This window comes from Homo sapiens, chromosome 6 (assembly GCF_000001405.40).
Source record: "Homo sapiens chromosome 6, GRCh38.p14 Primary Assembly".
In the NCBI taxonomy this organism is placed as follows: domain Eukaryota; kingdom Metazoa; phylum Chordata; class Mammalia; order Primates; family Hominidae; genus Homo; species Homo sapiens.
In genome coordinates this window covers 23,333,446-23,360,040 of record NC_000006.12, presented here as the reverse complement: position 1 = coordinate 23,360,040, position 26,595 = coordinate 23,333,446, and the positions used below count along the sequence as shown (strand labels likewise).

Below are 26,595 nucleotides of genomic sequence, written 5' to 3'. Positions count from 1 at the left end.
TGTCTAAAACACCAAAAGCAATGGCAACAAAAGCCAAAAATAACAAATGAGATCTAAGTAAACTAAAGAGCTTCTGCACAGCAAAAGAATCTACCATCAGATTGAACAGGTAACATACAGAATGGGAGAAAATTTTTGCAATCTACTCATCTGACAAAGGGCTATTATCCAGAATCTACAATGAACTCAAAAAAATTTACAAAAAAAAAAACTCCATCAACAAGTGGGTGAAGGATATGAACAGACACTTCCCAAAAGAAGACATTTATGCAGCCAAAAAACACATGAAAAAATGCTCATCATCACTGGCCATCAGAGAAATGCAAATCAAAACCACAATGAGATACCATCTCACACCAGTTAGAATGGCGATCATTAAAAAGTCAGGCAACAACAGGTGCTGGAGAGGATGTGGAGAAATAGGAACACTTTTACACTGTTGGTGGGACTGTAAACTAGTTCAACCACTGTGGAAGTCAGTGTGGTGATTCCTCAGGCATCTAGAACTAGAAATACCATTTGACCCAGCCATCCCATTACTGGGTATATACCCAAAGGAATATAAATCATGCTGCTATAAAGACATATGCACATGTATGTTTATTGTGGCACTACTCACAATAGCAAAGACTTGGAACCAACCCAAATGTCCAACAATGATAGACTGGATTAAGAAAATGTGGCACATATACACCATGGAATACTATGCAGCCATAAAAAATGATGAGTTCATGTCCTTTGTAGGGACATGGATGAAGCTGGAAACCATCATTCTCAGCAAACTATCGCAAGGACAAAAAACCAAACACCACATGTTCTCACTCATAGGTGGGAATTGAACAATGAGAACACTTGGACACAGGAAGGGGAACATCACACACCGGGGCCTTTTGTGGGGTTGGGGGAGGGGGGAGGGATAGCATTAGGAGATATACCTAATGTTAAATGACGAGTTAATGGGTGCAGCACACCAACATGGCACATGTATACATATGTAACAAACCTGCACATTGTGCACATGTACCCTAAAACTTAAAAGTATAATAAAAAAATAATAGAATAGGGATAATCTCATCAATGACACCATGATAAGATTAATTTTAATTTAGGTTTGCCGTATCTGAAACACTCCTCCAAGGAAACGATCAACAACTAATTTTGTTTTTTTTCCATGCTTCTACTACCTGACCATCCTTGTTTTGATTAACCCTCCCCTTCTTCACACTACTGTTACTATGATGTCTGCCTGGTCCAGAACATTCAACTCTAACTGATTGGGCTTTGCTTTTACATTTTAATAGAAGAAAAGTTGTTATCCATTTTCTAAGTTCTTGGGGAACAGGTTGAACTTCAAGTCCAGAGATATAGTTTAAGCTAATAATCTTTGGCCCCCTCCAAGATCTCTAGAAACTTATTCCCATAATGCCCAAAGATTAATGATACAAGCTTCTAAACAGCCTTTCCTCTACTGAATCCTCCTGAGAAAAAATATCGTGAACTCCCAAAGTTTATGTTGGTCGTCAGTTGTCACTAACTTAGTCTCCTAACCTGCCAGAGCATTTCATCTTGGATCTTTGTGGATTAACTCTTACAATAGGCTTCTCCATATGTCTGCCAATTTCTTTGCTGGGAACTGCTTGCCCCAAGCATCGACATAACTAGTCCCTCCATTCCCCAGAGCACAGCTTACACTAAGCTCTCTCTATTGCAACTTTAGAGGTCACTGGAAAATAACAAAACTAAAATACCAAGAGAAATTACAATTGCTGGGACCTGTCTTGTAGGCTAACTTGGGGACAAGGTGAACCTCTCATTCACCACTTCAAGCCCATCTCCCTCCTTTCCTGCTCTAAGATAAATGATATGAGACTAGCCACTCCACTCAGGGGAAATCACTCATCCCAACCATGGAGATGGTCTTCAGATAGAAAGACACACGTATTTCCAAATGTCTGTCCTATTCTGTCTTAAATTATGTCATTCACATGATGCCAATAGTTCAATGTATTTTGTGCTACATTAAGTCCTGTGCAGTTTTTTGTCAAAATTTCCCTCTAAGGTGAGATCAAAAAGAAGTTCAAATCTTTAGGATTTTTAGGTACTATACTTTTATTTCAATTCTGCCACATTGTTTTTCAGTACAGAGAATATTTAAATACATATTTTTTAAACTTCCCTTGTTGTCACTTTCTTACAGTTGGCAGGCAGGCAGTTTCCCTGACCCTTTCGTTATAAATCTAAAAGTGTTGCTTGGGGTCAGTCCTATACTAGCAAGAAGTCTATGTCCTGATACATGTGACCGTCCCCATCTCTCACTGTCCAAGGATTCTTAGCCATGGCTCTGGAAATGAAGTTTTTTTAGAGGAGTCAAAAGTTATTAGGAAAACTGTAGACATCTGAAATGCCCATATGTTTCAAACACCACTGTCAAAAATGCATGTGGTGTGTGCCTGCAAGACAGAATATAATTTAATCTTTTTTTAAAAGGCAAGGCAAAGAAAATATTTTAATATCATTATACATTACTGGTGGAAAAAAGCCATGATTCCCTGAAATGTTACATACTGTTTTGTGTAAAATGGAGAAATTTACCAGAAAGATACTATAGTAATTTGGAGTCCACATACTCATAGATTCTTCTAATTCTAATTTGTCCTTTCCTGGTAGTCAGCAAGATCCTAATGCTTTGCTTGACTACTCAAAGAGGCGATTTCTTTTCAGTAAATTAAATCAATTTCCATTTGTTCTGGGTCTAGGAAATTTTATTTTCTCTTGTCTTTATTCAATTTTCAATTCATTCTTCCCAGAGCATAAATCAATGCCTTCCTTTGATTTCATGGCAGGTATTCCTATTTCTTTTGCATTATAGTAAAGCCAGAAAATAAATCATTATATTATGCATTATTCCAGGCTTTAAAACTATAGTGGTAAAAGTAATGAACTAATATCAGGGCATTTCTAATGCTATGGAAAATATCAAAAGCTTAATGTCCAAATATATTAATAATTTAGGAGAAATAATTAGATCCCCTTGGATAGGTTTCCCATTTCAGCACCGTATCATGGAGCAGGAATAGTATAAACCGAGTGAAAAAAATGTTATTCCTGTCTTAACTCTCGGAAGAACTTAGGTCATAATGATAATTTTATTAAGACTCTTCTCTTCCTAGCACAATTCTACCTGTCTTGGTTTAGATTTGCAATTATATATAGAGAGAACTAATATAGTTCTCTCTATAATATATAATATATAATTATAATATAGTTCTTTATATATTATAGATAGTATCATATATTATATATTATGGATAGTATCATATATTATATATTATAGATAGTATCATATATTATACATTATAGATAGTATCATATATATTATAGATAGTATCATGTATTATATATTATAGATAGTATCATATATATTATAGATAGTATCATATATATTATAGATAGTATCATATATATTATAGATAGTATATTATAGATAGTATCATATATATTATATATTATAGATAGTATCATATATATTATATATTATAGATAGTATCATATATATTATATATTATAGATAGTATCATATATTATATATTATAGATAGTGTCATATATATTATATATTATAGATAGTATCATATATATTATATATTATATATCATATATTATAGATAGTATCATATATATTATATATTATATATCCTATAATATATATTCTTTATATATTATATATATATCCTATAATATATAATATTCTTTATATATTATATATATCCTATAATATATAATATTCTTTATATATTATATATATTTATGTATATATTTATATATTATATATAAAGAACTATATATTATAGTATAATATATAATATAATTATATATTATAATTATATTATATATATATAAAATATACAGAGACAGAAATTTGTTTTCTCACAATTCTGGGGCTGGAAGTCTGAGATTAAGTTGTCAACAGGACTGGTTTCTTCTGAGGCTTCTCTCCTCGGCTTGAAGATGGCCATCTTCTCTTCCCTTTATCTTTACATGGCCTTCCCTGTGTGCATCTGTGTCCTAATCTTCCTTCTTAAAAGGACACCAATTATATTGTATTGGGGCCCCCCAATACAATATAATTAGCTTAATAATTATACTTTTGTATAAACCCTGTCTCCAAATAAAGCCACATTCTGAAGTCCTAGAGATCAGGACTTCAACATAAGAACTTGGTGGGAGAGGGACACAATTCAGTTCATAACAGGAACAATTATTCCTAAAGAGCACTATGTGTGGCCTGGCAGAGATCATAGAGACATTTTGTCAGGAAACTAAACACTGAGATGAAATTTGTATCTGCCCTAATAAAAGGTAAAATATAAAAAATAAGAATGCATACGTTTAGCCATATGTGTCAAAACAATGGTGGATCAATGAAAACTTTAAACTTTTCCTGTTAAATAGCATTGAGTGGTTCAATTCTTTCTCCAGCCCTGTACTCTCTTACTCCCTTGCATTCCCCTCCATTTTCATGGACATTATGAATACAGGGCTTTGACGTTTCCTTCGTTTATGAAAGGAGTGATTTATTTTTGACCAATTGAATCAATATCCCATCAGTTTCAAGAATTCTCTTATCATTATGTAACTTATCATTTAATCTTTGTAGTGTATACATAATTTTTATTCTTCTTAAAATTATTAACCAATGCAGAAATATTGGATTAAAAAGTAGAATATTCCTAATGTAGATGATGGGTTGATGGGTGCAGCAAACCACCATGGCAAGTGTATACCTACGTAACAAACCTGCACGTTCTGCACCTGTATCCCAGAACTTAGTTATAATAAAACAAACTTTTTAAAATGTAGAACATTTGTTTTAAATCACTATTTACTGTAAAACAACAGAGTTGGAGATTAAATGGATTTTTAAAATCAGAATTCATTTATACCAGTTGATATGCTCATGCAATACTAAAAAAAAAAAAAAAAAAAGAGAGCTATAGCAAATGACATCATGTCAGAACCTTACTCCTATGGGTATTAGGAATTACAGGTTAATCCTGGTGGCAGGGAATAGTGGTGAGAGTGACCCAGAGCCACAATGTCTGGACATGTACTTCCTTAGTTTAAAAGTCACTTTTAATGTCCTCTTAGATGAATTTGTAATTATACAGTTTTTAACTTATACTCTCTTAGAGCAATAAACTCAAGCTGATTTACATTCAATGCTGTCAAATTAATGGAAAGTGTAAAACTACAATTAAAAAATTGCTAAATTCCAACCCATTCAAGTGGAAAGTATATTGCATATTTATATCATATTAAATATCCATACATTTAAGAAAATGTAGTCACTAATGCTCAATAATTCAATTAATTGTCACTCCAGTTTGTGACAAGCTTATCAACTGATATTTTACATTATATGAGGAAAAATATAGATGGCTGATAGTTTCACTTTTATCATCAATTCCAGGTGCTCTTTAAACTCACTCTTTATTGTTCTGAGTTTACTTCTGCAGTTGCCCTTGACTTTTTTTTGTGGTTCTTTTAACTTCAGAAATGTTAAATGGTGAGAAATAAACTTAAGGTCTAAGAAAATCTCCAAGGTGTTTAATTCTGTGGCTTTACCAAAACATGAAAGCCAAGGACAATTATGGCTTAATTCATTTCAATCACTGAGAGGTTTTTTATGTAGTTGTTGATATTAAAAATGTACAGCAATCAAAAATTTTCTTGTGGAACATGCTCCTAAGATGCCAAGATACATTAAAAGAAAGATCATTTCAATAGAACTTTCACTCAAATGACATACAGTGTCAAACTATAAAGAACAGAGATTAAATAAAGTGGACCAAATGGTTCTAAGCTTTCCCAGCTCAGTTATTAGACCTGCTTGAATAAAATAAACATGTCAGATCAAGACATTTGCTTTATCTCAATTTATGTATATGAGCACCTAGCAAACTGATAACAGTTTTTCAGCACTGATTCTCACAAATATTATATTTAAAGCCTTAAGTGTCATTATTTTTTAATATTACATTAAAATTATGTATGCATATGTATAACAGATATATATACACACATGTATATTTATATTCCTAAGTAATTTATAGTCATGACACATGTAAGAAACCACAAATGCAAATGCTGGATCATATGTAAAATGTAAAGAATTGTGTAACATCTCATTTTATGTGGCTTGTTTTTGTAAAACAAAAAATACAATATTTTCTGAGAGCACATATTTCCTTGAACCCTATCAGCACCCAGAATATTGTTGCTCACGTATTAGATACTCAATAGATGTTTGTTTATTTAATTTAGTTTGAACTGGATAGACAGATATACACTTTGTTAATGACAGGAATTTTTTTCCTCCCTCTTAAATTGTTTTTGGTTTAACAAAAATAACACTTGGATAAGGACCAACAAAACAAAACAACAACAACAACAAAAGCAAGAAATGGCTTTTATCTCTTATGTTTTATAAAAGGAGAATGCTGACCTAAATTCTTTTGGTCCTTTTAATAGAAGTAAAAAAGACTGAAGACTATAGTTGTATTTTTTTAGCTTTCTCATAAAAAAGAATTACAATATAAAGTGCTATGTAATTACTGACTATATTATGTGCAAGGCATTGTTCAAGGTATTTACAAACAAAAACACATAAAAGGTTGAAAGAAAATGGATTATATAATATATACAAAAAGCATTCTATTAAAAATTGTGTGTCATATAACACACATTAATTTATTATAACACACTTAATTTATTAGAAGATAGACATCAGGATCTTTCTTTAAAATATTAATAGTGGAAGGCCTAGCCAGAGTAATCAGGGAAGAGAAAGAAATAAAAGGCATCCAGAAGTAGTCAAACGATCTCTCTTTGCTGACAACATGATTTTATACATAGAAAACCCTGAAGACTGTGCCAAAAGGTTCCTGGAACTGATACACAGTTTCAGTAAAGTTTCAGGATACAAAATCAATGTACAAAAATCAGTAGCATTTCTATACACCAATAACGTCCAAGCTGAGTGACAAATCAAGAACACAATCCCATTTACAATTAACCACAAAATAAATAAAATCCCGAGGAATACATCTAACCAAGGATGAAAAAGATTTCGATAAGGAGAACTACAAAACACTACTATGAAATAAATCATAGATGGCACACACACACACACACAAAAAGGAAAAACATTCCACATTCATGGATTGGAAGAATCAATATCGTTAAAATGGTCATACTGTCCAAAGCAATCTACAGATTCAATGCTATCACTATAAAACTACGCACATCGGCCGGGCGCGGTGGCTCACGCCTGTAATCCCAACACTTTGGGTGGCCGAGATGGACGGATCACGATGTCAGGAGATCAAGACCATCCTGGCTAACATGGTGAAACCCCGTCTCTACTAAAAAATAAAAAAAATTAGCCAGGCATGGTGGCGGGCGCCTATAGTCCCAGCTACTCAGGAGGCTGAGGCAGGAGAATGGCGTGAACCCGGGAGGCGGAGCTTGCAGTGAGCAGAGATTGCGCCACTGCACTCCAGCCTACGTGACAGAGCCAGACTCTGTCTCAAAAAAAAAAAAAAAAAAAAAAAAAAAAAAAAACTACGCAGATCATTTTTCACAGAACGAGAGAAAACTATTCTAATATTAATATGGAGCCAAAAAAAGAGCTTGTATAGCCAAAGCAATCTGAAGCAAAAAGAAGAAAGCTGGAGGCATCACACTGACTTCAAACTATATTACAAGAATACGGTAACCAAAAGAGCATGGTACTAATACAAAAACAGAAATATAGACACATATCAAAGTTTTTAACAATCTGGTCAACAGCCCTGGATATCTTTGTACTAATATATATTAGTCATATTAGATAAGGAAGAATTATAATTTTATCCTTGTAGCTCTTAAAATTACAGATAGATTGTGAATTATGATGTGGTCATAATGTCTTTGCTATAGGTTTTCTGCAATCTCTAAAACTCTTTGTTTATATTAACTTGGTAATTATTTGAATAAGTAGGATTAAGATGTTATTATTTTGAAATCTCAGGTTATAGTATAAAAACCCTCTCCCATTCTGGTCAATCACTTAAAAGATTTTTGGGTATTCCCACTGTCCAGATACACAATAATTTAAGATACACAATAATTTAAGATTTTGCCACAACCAAACTTGAAACTGCATTACAAGTTGCATATGAATCTGAGGAGTCACTTATTTGTGATTCTAACTGATACTTGAATTCTAACTGATGGTTAAAATTAACATTCTCTGAACAGGTTCAAATTTTAATACCTTTTCTTAAGAAAGAGAACCAAGAAGGCTATGCTATAAAAAATGTGGCTTTTTTAAATAAAGAAAAAATAGTGGTTTTTTTATTCCATTAATCCCTGAATCTGAATAGATGGATATTCCTTTTCAACCAGGTACGTGCACATATACCTTATCTATATATAAGATAATAGAGGAGACAAATAAATAGAGAAAGAGATTAATGCAATCTGGAGTTAGACTTCTACTGCAAGAGGTGATAATCAAATGGCATTCATCATTATTTAACAATCTTACGTACTTAGGATAAATACTTGCTGCTACAGCTTAGAGACAAGGACATCAACCAGAATTCTATTCCTTCCATTTGTCGATTCATCTCCTCTATTGCCTCCTTATCTCACTCATTCTCCCATGCCAAAGCAGGATTATTAGTAGATCTTTGGGTTTGGCTAACCAATTTAGTGTCAGGATGAATGGAGAATAACATTTGTTCCAAAGTGTACTGGGACAAAGAAAAAAATGATAAGATTAACTAGCTATGACAATGTAACATATGTATTCTTTCTTCCTAATTAAAGACAAATGTTGAACTGGAAATTAAAAAGCAACATATTCTGAGTAAATGTGATGCTTAAGTTACTCTAGTTTAATTTTTTACCTCCCTCTTTCTGAAAAAAAAAAAATTTTTTTCAGAGCAGGGAGTGACAAAGATGGTTCATAGCAGGGTGAGTAGTTGGGAGGTTGTAGAAAGATGATCTATTCCAAACATAACAGATGACATGGTGTTGGAAGAATGTGACTATCAGGGCTACCTGTGATGATGACAGGACTTTCTATGCATACTTTATTCATGTCAACAGAACCAGGAGTTGACCCTTAAATATTCTTTTCAATTTCAATAAGAACTTCAGATTAATTCAGAACAGGTTCAACTGGAGTCCAACCATAGTTAGTAACAGTGAAGTACTCAGTCTGTGGCAAGAAATGATGTCCAATACTCTTCTAAATATTGGTGATTTCATATGAAAAAGAAAAATAATGAAAGTCTAACATACAAGATAAAAGTTTTCTCTTTACTATTGGTCTTTCTATGTGCATAGTCATGATGACATAATTCCTTTCCCTATGGTCTTATTTATCTAAAAATGCAGTTCCTGGAACTTGGAAAGCACCTTAGAAGAGTGGGGAAGAGGATGTCATTGAATAATGTTACTTCCTAAATCACAAATCTCTATGTTAGGATTATATCATAGAAGTCTACCTGAAACTACATTGTGAAGGAGAAATACTCTATCTTGGGCTCCATCTCACTCTCTGTTCTTTACTTCTAGTTCACAATTTGCTTTCCATGCCACAGAAGATCCAGGGAGTTTGCTATTCCTTCCTAGAATAACTAACTATAACAGAATCCCCAGTGTCAGGTCTTCCTTGGGACATCACCTTTCCAGAGAGCAGGTCTTCTGTTCCAGGTCAGGAGGGCAAACAATCTGAACATGTGAAAGATTTTCACGTAGTAAGAGGGAGATTTCATGAAATAATAGTATGTTGGCAACCATAAGCTCTAGCCAGGCTATATATGAGTAGGACAAATAAATAATGCAAAATTCCTCTCCCTAAAGGGTTAATTAACGTTTGGTAAAATTCAGATCAGACTTAGGCACGTCTTTCTAAACAGCTTACACATTCATCTCAGTTTCAATTTTACTTACCCTAAATGCAAATCAAGTCAAATCAAAACATTTACTTTGAGAAAGTGAGAAACATATGCCAGTTCATGGTCTCTATGTATACTTGGTATAGATTCATGCTACCCAAGAACCTCAACATGCATTTTAAACTCAGTGCTCTTTTGGCCAATTATATTCCCAAAAGTTTGTCATAATCAACTGAAGTGAAGCAAAGTGATTTTTCCTCTAGGGAGTCACTAATTAGAATAGAAATATTGGTGATTCAGGCCACTCTTTAAAGTCCAGAGAGTGCTCTGGTTTCGGCATTAGGCACTAATTCAGTTTGTTTGACTGTTAGAGTTGATCCTCCAGGCATAAAAGGATGTTTAGTCATCAAACAAACAGGATTACTGTATCTTGGACTTCTGCCACTGGAAACCATTAGTGGGGTGTGTCATGGGAGAAGGAGATGGAGATACAGATGGGGAAAGTTGGGTTCCTATCCTACAGAGACCCATTTCAATGAAATAAATTTATACTTACTAAAAGACTTTAAATGCCAGTCCCTCTCTTTGTTCCCAGTCCATTCCATATAATCTTGGATTGTAAAGAATTGAAAGGAGCTTTAGGTTTTAAGCAACTTGCCATCTTGGGCAAAAAAAAAAAAAAAAAAATCTCTAGAAAATAATTATGACAAATGGTTATCACAGACTCAAATGTAAAAATACATCTTATATTCAGTGGAAATTTGCTTTCTGTATATTTTATCTCTTGGAGATATTTTACCCACTGGAGCAATGAAGATCAATAAATCAAATCCCAATTTCTTTTTGACAAACCTGGCAGACAATCTAAAACAATTATATCCTCTAAATTCGCTCTTTCTAAGATTAACAAGCACAGCTTTGTTATTTCCAATTCTTTTCATGAGCCACATAACGTAACCTCACATATCTGTGGAACAGATTGTACTTGGAAATTCAGTTTCCTGAAGAAGTACTCTGAAGCCTTGTGACTTATGAGGTTATGAAGGAGATTATATTGGGGTTTGAACCATTGCTTATTGGGTTCAAAGTCAACTGCCCTAACACTATTCCACAGTCTCCTCAACACATATGACCACCTCATTAAAGATGACTCCTTCCCCAAACTATATCAGCCAAAAGCAAAATTAAGACTTATCTATGAGTGGGTTTTCTTATAAAAGAAAAGAAGGCTGCCAAAATAGATAATCTGTGAATAATTCAGGCACTGAAATTCCTCATGCAGTTTCATTGCCCCACATGTCACAATCTTCTCTCTGGTCCCTCAATGTGTTTTCATTTTAATATATCCTTGATGGTGGCTGCACCCTAAAGCCCTGTTCACTTGAAGTGGTAATTATATGGTTTTTCGAAGTTTAAACTAGAATGCATGCAGAGAAATACTGAGTTATAAAGAAATACTGAGTTATAAAGGTGTTGCATGTTGTTGCTAGATATGAATTTGCAGGAATGGTAATGGCAAGAGTGTTGTTACATCATCAAATTAAATAGTTAAAACTATTTCCCCCATACATACACGCCCCCCCCCAGCTTTATGGCCAATAATTATAACAATGCACTTAGATGCAAGCATGGATATTATTAAATAATGCCTTAAATTCAAAGTGGCCTCATCAGCCACCCGAGGCAAAGCATAATTGCCCTGTTTTTGTGAATACCAGAGAGCAGACAATGTTGCTGAATGTTATTACTTAAGCATTTTAATTTTTCACTGGGTGAGGAAATTAAATTCCAGCTCTAAAAAGTGATGTGTCTGGTCAGGGAAGGGGTTGCTGTGTGGAGGAGACCTGGGCGCATAGTTGGAAAGGGTGAGGTTTGCATTGAGAAGACATGCATTTTTCCTCTCTTGTAACACACAGGGAAGAGAATCTTTTTAGCCCCTGTCTTCTAAGGAAAGCAAAGCTCACTCTTCTCAGTTCACTGAAGACATAACTATAACAAAAAATTTTCTGACAATCTGTCAAGCTTTTAATTTTTTTTTTTTTTTTTTTTAGACGGAGTCTCACTTTGTTGCCAGGCTGGAGTGTAGTGGTGCGATCTTGGCTCACTGCAACCTCTGCCTCCTGGATTCAAGCGATTCTCCTGCCTCAGCCTCCCGAGTAGCTGGGACTACAGGCACATGCCACCATGCCTGGCTAATTTTTGTATTTTTAGTAGAGATGGAGTTTCACCATGTTGGCCGGGATGGTCTAGATCTCTTGACCACAGGTGATCTGCCCGCCTTGGCCTCCCAGAGTGCTGGGATTACAGGTGTGAGCCACCGCGCCCAGCCTTGTTTTAATTTTGATAGCAGAAACTATCCCTCTTCACTAGAAGGCAGAGGCCATGAGGCATTTAGTATTATCACAAGCCACCGAGATAGATTCTCCTTGGCCCATGGTGCATCTTTATACTGCTCTTGCTGATACAAGCAGCCATGCCAGATGTGTGACCTCGCTAGGCTGACAGAGTATGTATCTATCTGTTGGAAGAGACTCAAGACTGCAAGGGAATGAGCTGTGTCTCTTGCAGTCTGGTCCCTCTTGGAGTAGAAACCAATTGCTCTATTAGGGACTAGTAGCAGGTCACACAGAATAAGCATTACATTTCCCTGTTCATCTCACACTTTATAAGCCTTTCATTATGTTGAGTTCATCCAATGGCATTGCTGGAGTTCAGTTTCTTTGTTGGTTGTTTTTTGAGTGTTTTGTTTTGGCAAACCTCAGAATCATTTTCATTAAACTTTGCTTTGGTTCACTGTCCTCATGTTGAAGGCCAGATTTGTTAACATGGCTTATGAAGCCCTTTATGATCTAGTTACCAGCATACCTCTGTAATCTCACCTTTCCTTCGTTCTTCATGCCCTCTGTGCACTGTGCAAACTTTCAGTTCTCAGAATGGCCATTACTTTCTCCCTTCAGGGTCTTTGCAGTCTTTACCCCTATGCTTAGAAGACGCTTCTCATTACTTCTCATTACTTCTCCAATCATAGGACTCACTTGCCTATCTTTTCATAGCTCCACTAGGCTGCAAGCACCATGAGGGTCGGGAGGGTGTCTCTCCTTCACCATTGCTTCCTTAACACCCAGCACTCATTATATATGCCACCAACAACTGTTGAATAAATGGGTCATGGGAAATTATTAGCCATTATTGTCATAATCATTAAACATTAAAATAAAAAGTCAAAAGAAACTTCATATCACATCTATGACCAGGAGGTTTTAAAGACTTAATCCAATCTACCTGCTTGTGGGTCCATGGTGGAAATTCCTTTCAGTTCTCACTTCCAGAAAATATTTCAGAATCGAGAAACTGGTTTGCTTTATTTATTTATTCATGCATTTTTAATTTATTTATTTATATGAACTAACAAAATATGTTTTGTTCTTTTTGCTGGCTGCTGTGAAGCACAGATCGAAATTTGAGGCTGTATTTGGTTCACTGATGTAACTCCTGGGTACATCATATTTTACTTTAATTCTCTTTTTTTTTGTCTTGGTTCTGAATGTCTGAAAGTTGCTTCATAGGATCCCTCATCTTTATTTTTATTTGGCATATTTTTGCAGAATGAGACAAAACATAAAATTGTTAAATGAATTCATTTTCATTTTCAAAGTTTTCAGAATTTTATGTTATTGGAAATCGGGCTCGAAATACGTTTTTCCCAATTATGCTATGAAAATTTAAAGAATTCCTTTTTACAAATGGATAAACAAAGGCAGAGACAGAAAGGAATTTTTTTTTTTTAGTTGTACAAAAAGCCACTACTCTTACCTGAATGAAACAAGCAGTTTTTCAACTCAATGCTGGAGTCCCATTTAAAAATATATTTTATGCCTTACACGAGAAACTATTAGACTGAAAATTCAGACTGAGCTATTTGGTCTGAAAATTCAGACTGAGGTACATGTTATTGCCAGAAAAGTTCTAAGTAATGGGTTTGGGTTAACAGCTGCCGTTTTCCTAAAGAGGTGTTAAATGGTTCTAGAAATAATCATTTCTCTAATCCTCCTATTGTATAGCTGATTTTTGCTAATTGATTTGAGCCTGTTTTAGTCAAATATAAGCTCAGAAATATTCCATTTGTAACCATGTTTATTCCGCCTCAAAGAGCTCAGGGAAGATAAACCTTAAAACATGCACTGCTGTGGGACCATCTCTTGCCACAGTTTATAGCCTGTGGTTTGAATGGATATTATGAGGGTCTGATCGAAAGTGAAGAAAAGGAAAAACATACAGCAAATTATCTTTAAGCTACTTTTTAAAATTTTATTAGTTCAATACCTCCATTTAAAAAGTATGAATTTTAACTGTTCTTTCATTATCTTATTTTGAACTGCGCCACGTGACTAGTGAGGTATCATGATCATTTCATAGCTAGTAAAATGACCTCACAGTTTTTTCTTAGTAAATAAAAATGCTCATGGAGCTTTTACTGAAAATTTTGAGAAATAAAACAGTTAAGGAAGCCAAAGATCCTAACTCCGTGGATGTTAAATCTTAACTGATCAAATCTGGTTTTTCCAAACATTTGAACTAACAATACTGATATTTTCTGTGAAAACTGATTTAAAAAGCAATGCTATGGTTATTTTTTGTTTCTTTTCTGTTCTGTTCTTAGTCTCTACATCTAATTGAATTGTGATATGTAAAAATATAACTGACCACCTAGGACTGTGTTTTGATTGTGAAAGGCATTCAATGTAGCATACTTGATCAAAACATCCTGTGGTAGAGACTGCCATGAATTCCCATGTCTGGTTCTATACTCCTTAACAAGCACAACCAGTGACCCTGACCGTTGAACTAGATGCAGAGACTGGATGCCTTTACATTGGGTCACTTGGAGAGAGGTCAGTCCATTACGCATATGGAAAGGAGAGTGCATTTAATTAATACATGGTGACAAGGGGGGATAACTAGGTAGAGACTGGCCAAGGTAGGGTCTAGCAGGTCTTTATGACTAGTTTTAGCCAAATAAAGGACACCAGCAGTGACATATAATTTTGGTCCAAGGCAATGAAGAGCTCACCTGCTGCCTCCAGGGCTGCTTAACATGCTGCAACCAGGCTGAATGGTGCATATTGGACTGGAACCTGGATCCTTGAGTAAATGAAAGGAGAAAAGCCCCTATCCAGTATATCAGATTTGTGTAAACCAAAAAATAAACTTTCAATATGGTAAGTCTCCGAGATTTAATTGTTATCTAAATTAATATATCACCAGTAAACCACATTGTGGTCCAGCCTTTTCAGTTTTGTAAACACAAACTCAGTTCTGCCAACTCAACTGTGTTCTAGTTTATTTTCACACCTTCTCTTTGGAAATAATAAAATGAATTAATATTCTACCTATCTTTCTTGGGTACATGAATATCAATCAATCCAAAAGAACTTCATTGCTAATTCTTTGAAGAATAGTTCAAATGAACTCTAAAGTATCTTTAAATGGTAAGATTTTATAACGTTTGGGTACAATGTAATTAATTTCCATGAAGATTTTTGATGAGATTTAAAGAGTGTCTTAAAGATAACAAAATAGAAATCTGAGAAACCAACAATTAGTTCAAAGATTGCTTTGGGAAGACTCAATTAAAGAATATAGCAAATATTTAGAATTTTTTAAAAATGGAACTATATGGTGAAACTGCTTCTAAACATTGGTGTTAGTCTAAGGATGAGCATGGTTATTGTCACATTTTTATTGGTGTAATTTGAAACAAACAATAAAAAATAGATTGGGTAAAGGTAATTATGACAATAAATAAAATTTTATCTTTGAATATACATAAAAATTAGCTGACATTTATTTATTTTGACATCTACAGTTATTTACTGAACTACTTACACCAACTCACAATGCGAGGTGCTGAAAATAGAGTTGAAAAAGATAAGACTCGTGCCCTCAAGGATTTCACTGTTACTATGGGGAACAGATTAGAAAAACACATGATAGCAATACAGACTAAAAGAGATGCTATGAGTACATTCAATAAGCTAGGGAACCATGGGGTAGGAGTCGGGGGAAATATGAGCTAGGCAGGGAAGGTTTTTATAATAGTGGTGTGTATTTTGAGTCTGCAAGAGATATATAAACAAATCGTTCTACATTAGAATTTCTCTTTGAAGTAATGAAAATAACCAAATTAAACAATTTTCTATGAACTAGATAATTACTTCTAATAAAGGAAAGGCTAGGATCATAAGAGAGGGAGAAAATGCAAAATTGATGAGCAATGCAATAAAATAATGTAGGAATATAGAAGGATTCTTACAAAATCTTTCACTTGACAGCATGTCGGGAAACACAAGGTCATCTTTAACAGGTAACACATAAGAAAAAGATAAATTACATACAGTGGATCTCTTACTAATTACAGACACATGGTTATTTATCTGTAAATAAATACAAAGTCATTTTTTTCATAAGTCCACTTCCCAGAGCCCTACAAGTCTGAAAAAATAGACTCCTCTTTTTAATGAAATATTTAATTTTAACTATGAAAAGCTAGACTATAATGTCAAATGTTTTCTATATAAAATCGCTATTGAGGAAACCAAGCATGGAAAAGGAAAGGAATTTTTTTAAAATGTCTCTAATAATAGTTAAATAGGATAAGGGGAAGGAAGAGAGAAAAGTAATGGTAAAATTTAAGTTGATGTTTTAAGGAAAGAGATCATGAAGCCTTGGCCAAAATTGGACAGAAGAGCATTGATTTGCTTTTTAGAAGCTCACACATGTTGAAATAGGTGCTTAGCTTATGTAGTAAACACTAATTCTGGCAAGTTTATTTTGTAGGTAACTAAACTGGAATAACGCATATGACGGGGGAGAGTTCCCTGACCCTCTTGCGAGTCTTGCCACAGGGAGGGTGTGGAGGGTTGGTGGTAGCTTGTTTTGCTTTGTTGCTGAACTCAAGCCCCTTGCAGGAGTGGGAGCATGCAGGTAAGTGGGTATGGGAACCAGGGCTAGTGCCTTTGGGCGCCAGGGGCAGCATCTAGCAGTTGCGCACAACCTCTGGAGCCCCAGAGGGCATGTGTTACAATTAATGCTCTTTTAGCAGTTGCTGTCCACAGAGGGCTAAGTGTTAAACAGTCCCGTGGAGAATCAGGGTGACATATACCCTGCCCTCTTGGAACCTGGATTTTTGTCCAGAGTACAAGAAGAATCAGGTCACATGGACTTGAAGGATGGTGAATGCAGAGGTTTTACTGAATGATGGAGGTGGCTCTTTGTGGGTTGGGGGGCTGGAAAGGGGATGGAGTGGGAAGATGATCTTCCCCTGGAGCTCAGCTGTCCCCAGCCAAACTCCTCTCTGACTGTCCAGCTCCCTCTTTGACATTCAGACACTTCTATTCTTTCCTTCTCTGCTGTGCCACTCTATTCCTCTGCCAGTGGAGTTTGGGGTTTTTATAGGTACAGGATAGGGGACATGGTGGGCCACGGTGGTTTTGGAAAAAGCAGCCTTTGGGCAGGAAAGCAGCAATGCCTGTTCTCATTCAGGGCCACGGGTCCAGGCTTAAGGGTGGAGCTCTCATCAGGGACTCTGCCCTCCTGTCTCCTCTCGGTATCACATACAATGTGGACTGCATGTAACATTCCTTCCCAATCGCTTTAATTTTATAAGTAACCTCAGGAGGTAGTAGCCTCACCACCATTAGTCGATGAAGGCAGAATGTCAGAAAAGAAAAAAGAGCAGCTTTATAATGAGGAATGGATATAATTATAGTTATTATTACAGAGAAAATGAGGCAGAACATGTTTAAAAGATAAAAATATGATCAAAGATCAATTTAAAATACATTCTCATCTTGCTGTAAATACCACAAAATATACCTCTGAAAAATTTTGATCACATATTTAGATTGGCCCATTTAATATTTTAGAAAGTCCTAATCCATTCCTGCCCACAAAACACTCAAAATAGAGACCCAAATTTATCTCACGTAATCATCATACACATAGATGTTAACATTTATGTCTCATTTTTCTTTTCTGTAAAATTGGAATAATAAGCCACTTGTCCATTTCACATAGTTAGTAGTTCACTAGGATTTCAATTCTGATGTCTTTCCATGTTGCTGGAAAATTTTCCCTTATTGTATAAGGTTTAACAAAAATTCCTTCCCACTTCTTTAGCCTTTTTCAACCCTTCAGAACAAAATACATTTCAGTTCAATAAAATGGGTTTTCAAAAAGTATACTTACAAGCAAAGGTTAGGGTGGTACAAAATCAAGCATGGTTACAGCCTCCCACCTCCAACCTGTTTCCTCAATGGAAAGTATTTTGATATCTTCATCTAATAAATCCGCCTTGCCTATAGGGGATAAATGTGCAAGTCTCCCATGAGTTATTATTATTATTATTTGTAGAAGAGTCTTGCTCTGTTGCCTATGCTGGAGCGCAGTGGTGCAATCTTGGCTCACTTCAGCCTCTGCCTCCCAGGTTCAACCGACTCTCCCGCCTCCCGAGTAGCTGGGACGACAGGTGCGCACCACCACGCCCGGCTAATTTTTGTATTTTTAGTAGATATGAAGTTTCACCATGTTGCCCAGGGTGGTCTTGAATTCCTGGCCTCAAGTGATCCACCTGCCTCAGCTTTACAAAGTGTTGGGATTATAGGGGTGAGCCACTATACCTCATGAGTTATCTTGTGTACAAAACAGTCTGGAAAACATTCTAGTTGAGAGGCAGCACTCTTCTCTACCAGAAACATTTAAAGTATCTTTATTAAAAAAAAAATAAAAAGATACCAGGGCCAAAGTCCATCAATGTGACCAAACAGGCCTGAATTCATCCTTTTGATTGGCCTGACTCCTTATGTTTCTTTGGCCCTACCACCATATGACCTGACCCAATTGAACAACATTGGTCTTGCTATCAAAAAAAGTGGGAAAGTGGATCCTGGTAAAGTGAAAGAGTCTGTAACTGAGTCAACCACAGAATGAAGTTCTTGAAGTTGTGGTTACTCAGACCTTAGTGACATTGAAGATATTGCCAAAATCTTCTAATTATCCCCAAAGCACTTAGGTCTCTTAGGCTCTATTATCATGTTACACCGTGCCTCCTACAGTCCCCTTTTTTTGCACAGTGCTTTTGCTTAGATTTTTATTAGCCCTTTGTCACAAGAGTCCTGTAAGATGTACCAGCCATCATCGCTCTATTGTTACAAGGCAGGGAGGTAAAAGAGACATGGATACATTAAACAATTTGCCCCTGGGCTCCAAGTCTTTGCTAGCCTGTTACGCACAATGTCACTGCAATCGGCTGGGGGTGGAGGTTGCTGAACCTTGTTCCAGCGTGCTGGCAGTCATTTTTCTGGATTACATATCTGTGTTCAGGGCAAATGAGCACGTGTAACATGAACAAGGTTTCGTTAGGCCATTCTTCTACTGCAAGTCAGTTAGAAGGATAGATGCCAAAATCTCCACATCTTTGAGACACGGGACTGGTCTCTGACTTCCCATGGCTGATTTTAAGTCTCTTAAAGTTAGTGGAGAAAAACAAGTGCAGAAGATTCCTGTGGGTCTGGAAAGCATTAGTGGTAAATCTTGAGTATAAAGCTCATATACACCACTTTCCCTTAATGAACATCTAATCCAGCAATACAACACAGTCCCGGTTGTCAGGACTACACATCTGCTATCCACATCCCGGCAGGGGTTCCAGTTTTCTTGGAAGAGGACTCCAAGTCCCTGCAATATCCATTATGCCCTTGAAATCATGCATGGGCATTTGGAGTAAATATAGCCAACATACTTGGCTGAATGCAAACTGATCAGGACTTTTCACTATCCCTGAAATGCTTGAAAATAAATGTAAAAAATAAGTATGCCAAAATATGTATATTGATGCCTCTTCTTTATTTTCGGTAAATATTTAGCACTAATTGTAGTGAAGGTGCTAAGGTAAGTAATGAAAATGTAAAGTGTTTGAGGTAAACAAAGCGTTTTAATATAAGAGGAATCCTAATAGGAAAACAGATATATAAAACAGAATCAATAGGAGCCTGGGTAATCCCAGATGGTGTAATTTCCAGTCCAAGAGCAGAAGACCAATGTTCCAACTCAAGTAGGCAGGCAGAAATGAAAACAGGCAAATTCCTCCTTCTGCCACCTATGTTAGATGCTGTTCACCTACACTGGCGAGGCAACCTACTTTATTGGGTCAATTGATTCAAATGTGAATCTCTTCTGGAAACACCCCCCAAGACATACCCAAAAATAATGTTTAATCTGGGCACCCTATGATGCAGTCAGGTTGACAGATAAAAGTAACCATCACAAGCACATAATCTAGAAGTATTTCATACACAGGAATACCTCTATAGGCACACACGTAGTTCTTTCTTACACCAGTTCTGCAAAACCCAGGACAAGAAGACTCGTCAATCACCAGGTCCTGGTATTCATGCTTTTGTGTAGTTTCCTCCCACACTGAATTAAGCTGACCTGTGTAACTCACAAGACATTGCAGGAATGACGGTGTGTGTGCTCAGGCTGAACATAAAAGACTCTGAGACTTCTGCCTTGCCCTCTTGTAGCACTCTCCAGGAAAAGCTGCCTGCTAGATAACATGAAGACACGCCAGCAGCCTCATGGGGGTGGAGGGAAGAGAGGCCTCATGGTGAGGGACTGAGGCCTCCTACTAAAAGCCAGCACTAACTTGTCAGGCATGAAAGTGAGCCACCTGGAAGCACATCTTCAGCCCCTGTGGACCCTTTAGATGACTGCAGGCCCTGCTGACATCTTGACTGAAACCTCATGAGACAGCTAGAACCAGAATCGCCCAGGTAAGCTCCTCCTGGATTTCTGACCCATAGAGACTGTATGAGACAGTTTCAATAAATATATTAGGCCTCTATGTCACTGAGTAATTTATTATGCAATGATTAATAGATAACGAATACAACTTCTATATTATAAATCAACATTATCCACATTGTACTTAAGTCAAGAATAAGGCATAATCTTTGAATTGCTGTCATATGATTTGTGGTAAACTTAGTGAAGGGACACCTTATCTAAATCCCCTCATCACCAGAAATTCAAACTGATAAGATGGCTGGTCAGAAAGGTACAGTCTGCAGCCATACAGGGAGAAGCTTTCTGTCTGTTTGAATATTTAAGTCTACCTTAATTGTGCTCTAACCTATTCAAAGAGTCTGGAGTACTGGTGTGATTTTTAAAAAATATTTGTTACTAATAGCTATGTTAGAATTTATAAAAGTACTAACTTAGAGATGATTTAATGTTATTCCTATAACATAATTCATATTCATTATGAGTAGGAGGAAAAAAGGAGAATTTACTGCAAGTGCTCAGGGAAAAGATGAGCATTCCCAGGTGTCCTCATGAGGAGTGTGCTATCCTAGCAAATACCATACATCCTGTGTGTCTCCATGCAAAAACAATCTGAAGCTAATCCACTCATAAAAATAGCAGATGAGTTACACCATTGAGTTAGTATTTTGTAAGGAGTCTCTGACAACTTCATAAAGGAGGTGAGGTTTTCTCGTGTGTTTACAAGAGACAAGTTTGATTGCAAAACAGGCAGAAAGGTGGCCTTGAAATCTCAGATAATCTATGCAATGCTCAGAGGTGGAACAGGGAGACCAGGTAGAATGTGGGTGAGTTGGTTAAGAGGGTGAGATGAGGATGTATACATGTAAGTAAAATAAAATGAATCATTCAAGACATGGTGGAATTAAGTGGAACTGAAAAACTTAGGCTGGAGAAGGAAAGTGGAGACAGACGTGTGATCACATCGTGTCTAATTGTATTTAAATGCAGAGAGAAGAACATCAAAGGTGCGGGTTTAGGGCCCAGAAAGCCACTGGCCCCTTAATATCCAGAAAAGGACAAAAACTCACGGGAGTCAAGCACTGTTTGCCTGGAAGAAGAAAGATAAAGACACAGACAAGCCCTGCTCCCCCACCAGCCAAAACTACTATTCTACCTGTTTCCTGATTCTGACCCACGTATATTCACTTGTTTCATCATTTTCTCATTCAAAAATATATTCATTCAATTAATAATGATTTACTGAGTGTGTATTATGTAGCCAGTGCTTGCATGGAACTCAGATTACAGCTGGAAATGAAACAGATCTGGTCTTACACCCTCTGTACATCTTCTTCCTCCTGTTACCACTCTATCCTGTCTTCAACCTCAACTTCACTACTAATTTCATACTTAATCATATCTTAACAGCTCTCAATAAAAATGTAAAAACATAGACAAAATTATTCCTTACTCAATATTTCTGGCAACGGCTACTGCTGTTCTCTTCTCTCTCTCCATTATCTGAAAAGAGGAATAATACAATCACCTCCTCTTAATCCCTCAATCCTTAGCACTCTGATTCTATTCCCACCTCTGCAGGGAAACCACAGTGGACTTCTTTATGAGGTCATTTATGAATTCCTTCTGAGTGCTCTATGACATTTAAAGCAGTTTTCCACAACTGCTTCCATTGTCACCTGGGACCTCATTATCTCTTGTTTTTCCTAATTCCTCAGTGCTTCTTTTTTGGCATCAAATGACATTATCCACCCAATGTTTTGCCTACGGTTTCACTCTATGCCCTATTTCATGTCCACTGCATGTAAGTAAACTCCTCTGAAGACACCTTTTCAACTACAATTCTGAATAATTCATCTTTTCAGTAAATTTTTCCTGAGTGCTCCCTGTGGTTCAGGCACAGTTCTAGATGGTGGAAATAAAGCAAAGTTCTCACCCTCGTGAAGTTTATTTCTAGTCAGGGAAGACATGAAATAAAGAATGTGTCAAGAGATCATACATGCTATGATAAAGCACTGCACAATCTCAACCTCTCAAATTTTTCTTCTCTCTCTTATGCCCAAATCTTGTCTTCCCCACTACCCTAAACATTTCTCTGAATATGTGAATTCAACATATTCCAAACTGAGTTCATCATGAATTCCCCTCTACTTGCCACCCCCTTAGGTCTCTATCAGTTCTCATTCTCAGCGACTTGAACCATGATGTACCCAGTGGCTTCAACTTTGATACATTTTCTGTATTGCCAGTGGTATCATTTTTTTCTAAAATGTAATAGTTGTGTCTTTGCCTTACCCAAATTCTCCTAGCAGTTCTCCATCCAGGGTCAAGCCCAAACTCTTTAGGATACCAGAGAAAGCCTTCCTGCCTCTTGTCCCTTCTATGTCCTTCAGGATACACTTTCTTGCTTTCACCTCTTGGCTCAAGCTCTTTCTTTTGCTAATCATGGCCCCTCTCACTCAACCACACCTCCATTTAGCTAACTCCAACTCAGGCATTTTTCAAGGTGACAAAGTAACATCTTCTTGGAAATATGTAGCATTCTTTGCCTTTCTACTTGAGATTCGCATCTCCAATCAATGTATCTTTTTTTTTTTTTTTTTTTTTTTTTTTGAGATGGAGTCTCGCTCTGTCACCAGGCTGGAATGCAGTGGCACCATCTCAGCTCACTGCAACCTCTCCCTCCTGGGTTCAAGTGATTCTCCTGCCTCAGCCTCCTGAGTAGCTGGGACTACAGGCACACACCACCATGCCCAGCTAATTTTTGTATTTTTAGTAGAGACGCGGTTTCACCATGTTGGCCAGGATGGTCTGGATTTCTTGACCTCGTGATCCAGTCACCTCGGCCTCCCAAAGTGCTGGGATTACAGGCATGAGCCACGGCGCCCAGCCCCCAATGTCTCTTTATGTTCCCTTAACACTCAGAAACTTATCTTGTCATTGATTGTAACCACAATATATGATAAGTTATTCTATTTCTTGTCTGTCTCCCACATTCATCTGTGACTTCCCTGGAGGGAAAGACAGTTTCCTGCATCTTTTCCCCCAAAGTATAGTGCAATGCTACCCACAGAGGAAGTTTAATACTTTGCAATTATGAATGAGCTTAGTATATTACTAACTCACAAGGTTGGCAAGCAAATCGATACATTGTACCAATATTATGCTGACTAATGTTTCCACATGCTTACAGGTATTGCGCTGTTGGAAAACAGTAGCTCCCCCAGTCACAATTTCACCTTCTGCAGTTTCAGTTACCCACAGTCAATGGCAGTCCAAAAATATTAAGTGAAAAATTCCAGCAATAAACAATTTATAAGTTTTAAATTACCCACCATTCTGTGTAGCATGATGAAGCCTGGTGCCCTCCTGCTCTACTCTGCCTGGGACGGGAATCATCCCTTTGTCCAATAAATGCAAGCTGTAGATGCTCTCCACACAAGTCACTCAGTAGCCATCTGTGATCAGATTGACTGATGTGGTATCACAGTGCTTGTTTTCAAGTAACTCTTGTGTTACTTGATAATGGGCCCAAAGTGCAAATATTTAATAAGGAAAGAAAAAAAAATCCTAATGCTGAGGTTGCTGAGATCTACAGTTAGAAGGAATCTTCTATACGTGAAATTGCGAAGGAAGAAAAAGAAATTCAGGCTAATTTTACTGTCACTCCTCAAACCACAAAAGTTACGGCCACAGTGCGTGATAAGTGCTTAGTTAAGATGGAAAGGCATTAAATTTGTGGGTGGAAGACAAGAATAGAAGTGTTCCAACTGATGGTGGTTTCGGGCATTCACTGGGGAGGGTAGGGGCTTGGAACTTATGCCCTTTGAAGAAGTGCAGACTACCATCATTTCATACATCGGTATTCATACACAGCCGTGTGCTCTTCTGCAATTTTAAACTTGAAGTGGTAACTTAGGGAAGTATCCTGTTCAAGTCAGTTGCTGGGCAAGGTCGTTTTGTTTATTCTCAATTCTCCTTAAGAGTAGAGCAATGTAGTTTCCATGTGCAGCCAACTGTTTTAATCCAAGAGAGTCTCACTAGAATACTGTGAATCATTCCTCAGCAGCCCTACCTGACCCTCTCATGCTGTGGCATGAGCCTCTCCCATCACGTCTGCCCAAATAAAAACAAAGAAACTGTTGTTCATGTTTTCTCTCTGAAACCATCTGTCATCTTCCTCACCTTAATGTATGCCCCTTGTATTTATAGGAAAAGGGAAGAGAAGAAGAGGGGTAATTTGCAGAATATTGTTTAAGAGAAAGTAATCTTTAAACTCTTCACTATTTACCTTACCTCCAACATCCTTTGTATGTTCAGTTCCATCCAGGAGCACTTTATTTGACTGTGGCGTGACTCCTCCTTTCTCATTACCAGCAGTTAAGCTGGGCGTAGTGTGCCAGAGGCTTAACTCATAGCCAATGGTCCTGGTGTCTGGTGGAAATAGAGGGACCCAGGCACTGTCAGCTATGGCTGAAAAGTAGATCCTGAGCTGACTTTATATTGCAGGGCATAAAAAAGAGAGAAACTGTGGCCCTTGGCAAGATCGAGTTATGTGGAGATTATTCCCCCCCACAGCAAGACTACAAAAAAAAACAAGCAGTGTTCTTTGGAGACTCTTGAATGCTCACTCAAAGGCATACCGCCGCACAGCTATTTTGTAAAAGTGGAGAAATGGGAAATGATCATGTTCCGAGGTAGCTGGAGGCTGTCTGGGCTCACAACCAGGCTGCACTTCCTTGGGAAGAATAATTACCCTGCCATATGTGGCACTCTGGAGAAGAATGAGACAAGAAGTGGCTATGAACTAAGTCGTAAGAAAGTAAATTAGGCCAAGTACTAATGCAAAAACTCACTACCACTTACTAATTATTCATTCATCAAATATTTTTTGAGCACCTACTTTATGCCAAGCACTCTTATAGGTGTGGGGGATAAGTGAGTGAACAAAGCTGACAAGAACAACAACAACAAATATATTTTTATGATGCAACATTTTAGTGAGGGAAAAAATGAATAAAAAACATACCAAATCAATGATATAGTATATTAGAGAGGATCAGGTGTTATAGAAAAAAACAGAACAGGATGGAGGGAATCAGGCGGGCTAAGAGAAGGACTGTCGTTTTAAATGGAGCCACACTGAGAAGGTGGTGACTGAGCCAAGAGTTGAAGGAGGAGAGGAAGCGAACTATGTGGCTTTTGGAGGAAGGTTATTCCCTGCAGGGAAACAGTGCAAAGGTTCTGAGACAGGAACGTGGCTATAAGGTTTGTGAAGAATCAAGGAGAACAGGCCATCGGAGCAGCCTGAGCCAAGAGAGGGTTATAGGAAATGAAGATGAGGAGATAACAGGCCAGCAACGAGGACAGATAGTGCTGGGTCTTCTGGGCCACTGTCTGGACTTTCGCTTTCACTCTGAAAGTATTGAGGGGACATCCATTAAAGAATTTTGAGCAGAGGAGTGGCATAAGATGACTTCAGTGTTTATAAGGGCTATGTTTGCTGCATTGAGAATGGTTTGTAGGAAGATTGTGTTAAGTCCCGATCACTAAGGCACTGAGAAATACAAATTATCTTGTGAAATCATTTTAGCAAAATAGATATTATTATCTATTTTGTAGATGAGGAAACAGAAAGGGGCAATCGCCTGAACAACGTTACATAAATAGAAAATGATAGGTCTAAGATTTAAACCATGAAGTAAGCAATAACATATATTCTCCAAGCCCTATAGCAGTGTCAATTCTGGTTTAATTGCAGTGAGGCTCAGGGTTACCAATGGAGTGTTGTGTGTGTGTCAGGA

General features: G+C 37.0%; 2 long non-coding RNA genes across 6 annotated transcripts in view; one reads left to right on the top strand and one right to left on the bottom strand.

The window, feature by feature from the left end:
• The window catches only part of LOC102724749 (uncharacterized), a 66,451-nt gene extending 44,101 nt beyond the window's left edge, over positions 1–22,350 (bottom strand). Inside the window, exons 1-5 of one of the 4 annotated variants that reach the window (NR_187791.1) lie at positions 22,245–22,350; positions 15,021–15,091; positions 12,829–13,099; positions 10,506–10,639; positions 8,594–8,797 (exon numbers count right to left, since the gene is read on the bottom strand). This is a non-coding gene — a long non-coding RNA (uncharacterized LOC102724749). Of the gene's footprint in view, positions 1–8,593; positions 8,798–10,505; positions 10,640–12,828; positions 13,100–15,020; positions 15,092–18,196; positions 18,307–22,244 lie in introns of all 4 variants that reach the window. The other 3 variants (NR_187789.1, NR_187792.1, NR_187790.1) reach the window with 3 other exon arrangements.
• Positions 1–23,295, top strand: part of LOC105374976 (uncharacterized) — a 289,589-nt gene extending 266,294 nt beyond the window's left edge. For both annotated transcript variants that reach the window (XR_001744046.2, XR_007059501.1), the window contains 3 exons: positions 15,005–15,168; positions 20,533–20,781; positions 21,782–23,295. This is a non-coding gene — a long non-coding RNA (uncharacterized LOC105374976). The remainder of the gene's footprint in view (positions 1–15,004; positions 15,169–20,532; positions 20,782–21,781) is intronic.
• Positions 23,296–26,595: the final 3,300 nt, after the last annotated feature.